At 34.0% G+C, this 1,316-nt stretch overlaps 1 annotated feature.

Annotated features, from left to right (window-relative positions):
• Positions 824 to 993: an enhancer, noted in NCBI's record as "experimental_93679 CRE fragment used in MPRA reporter constructs". NCBI's record gives its function as "activates a minimal promoter by MPRAs in K562 erythroleukemia cells, with activity observed for the introgressed 6:66517697 variant allele {active_cell/tissue: K562}" and the evidence as "EXISTENCE:reporter gene assay evidence [ECO:0000049][PMID:34662402]".

The raw sequence follows: 1,316 nt of genomic DNA on the forward strand, positions 1-1,316 counted from the left end.
CTGCAGTCTCATGAATTACTGACTTCAAAGTAAACACATGAATGCTGCTCTGTGTCATTGTTTTACATCAGGCATTTCTATGTTAAATTATTATTATTCTAGAGAGTTCTTTTCTGTATGGAACAATTTTATTTATGTTGCAAATATAATAGGCCTATAGTGGGCAGGGTAATGTAGAACTGTACCGAGGGCATAATGCTGCGATTCTTGTGGCTTGTTAAGATCAGTGGGTGCACACAGAGACAATAGCACTAAGAAAATGATGAGATGATTATTACGTGTTTTAAACCACAGTTAATTACACAAATTACACCTATTAAGTGAAAGAGAATTAACCATTCGCTTTGTATGCACCTATTTGTAGCAATAGGTAGCTTGGTAAATATAGCAAAACAAGGAATTAAAAAAATACCTATTGTCTCAAAAATATCACAAGAACCAGACAATATGGTTTGGTCCCTATCACTATTAGGTATATTCATATTCACTCCTTTAGTTCATTGTAAGAATGAGAAAACAGTGGGTATCAATAAAATAGCACAAACTAAAAGTTAGTTAATATAGCAAAATGTAAAACACACATAGTCTCTTTCACATTATTCAAAGTTCTGGAACTTAATAATAATATAATCATTTTACCACACTTACAAGTACTGTTAAAACCTGTCTGGAACAGGGTTCTGGATTTTATAACCTGTGTAATAGCTAGGAGTAAGGAGAGACATTGCAAAAATAACCGAAAGATTTGAAGTTTGAGTAAGAATAAATAAGGAGGTAAGTAAGAACAATTTTGACTTTTTTAGCCAGGAGAAGAAAAGAGGGGTTAATAAAATATTTCATTTGTGGGAAACTAATGCAGTATTTCCCATGCATGTTTGCTGTACTTAATAGACCATGACAGCCTTAAGATTGTAGGCTGTCTACTATTTTATGACAATTTTGATGAGTATCTTTTTTTCTCCCCTAGAATGAGTATCTGGAAAACTTAATATATCACATATGTCCAAGGTAAGTGACAGATATTCTGCCATCACCATTAAAATTTCAAATGTTTCCTATGTCGTAGAAATCAGCAAACTTTGTCTCAAAGCTTCCATGAATATAAGGCACTGGGCTCAAGAAAGCTGGGAATTTAAGATAGGTAAATAATGCCATGGAGGCCAAAGCTCAGGATTTTAAAGATGATGGTTATCAACTTGCATTAGCCAATTTGCCCATATTTAAAACCTAAATTTACCTGTATCCTGGATGTGATAACATTTGCTGTTCTCCCAAGTGGCTTAAAACCTTTTCCCCTTTGTGTTGAGCAGGGCTCT

Source organism: Homo sapiens, chromosome 6, assembly GCF_000001405.40.
Source record: "Homo sapiens chromosome 6, GRCh38.p14 Primary Assembly".
Classification (NCBI taxonomy): Eukaryota; Metazoa; Chordata; class Mammalia; order Primates; family Hominidae; genus Homo; species Homo sapiens.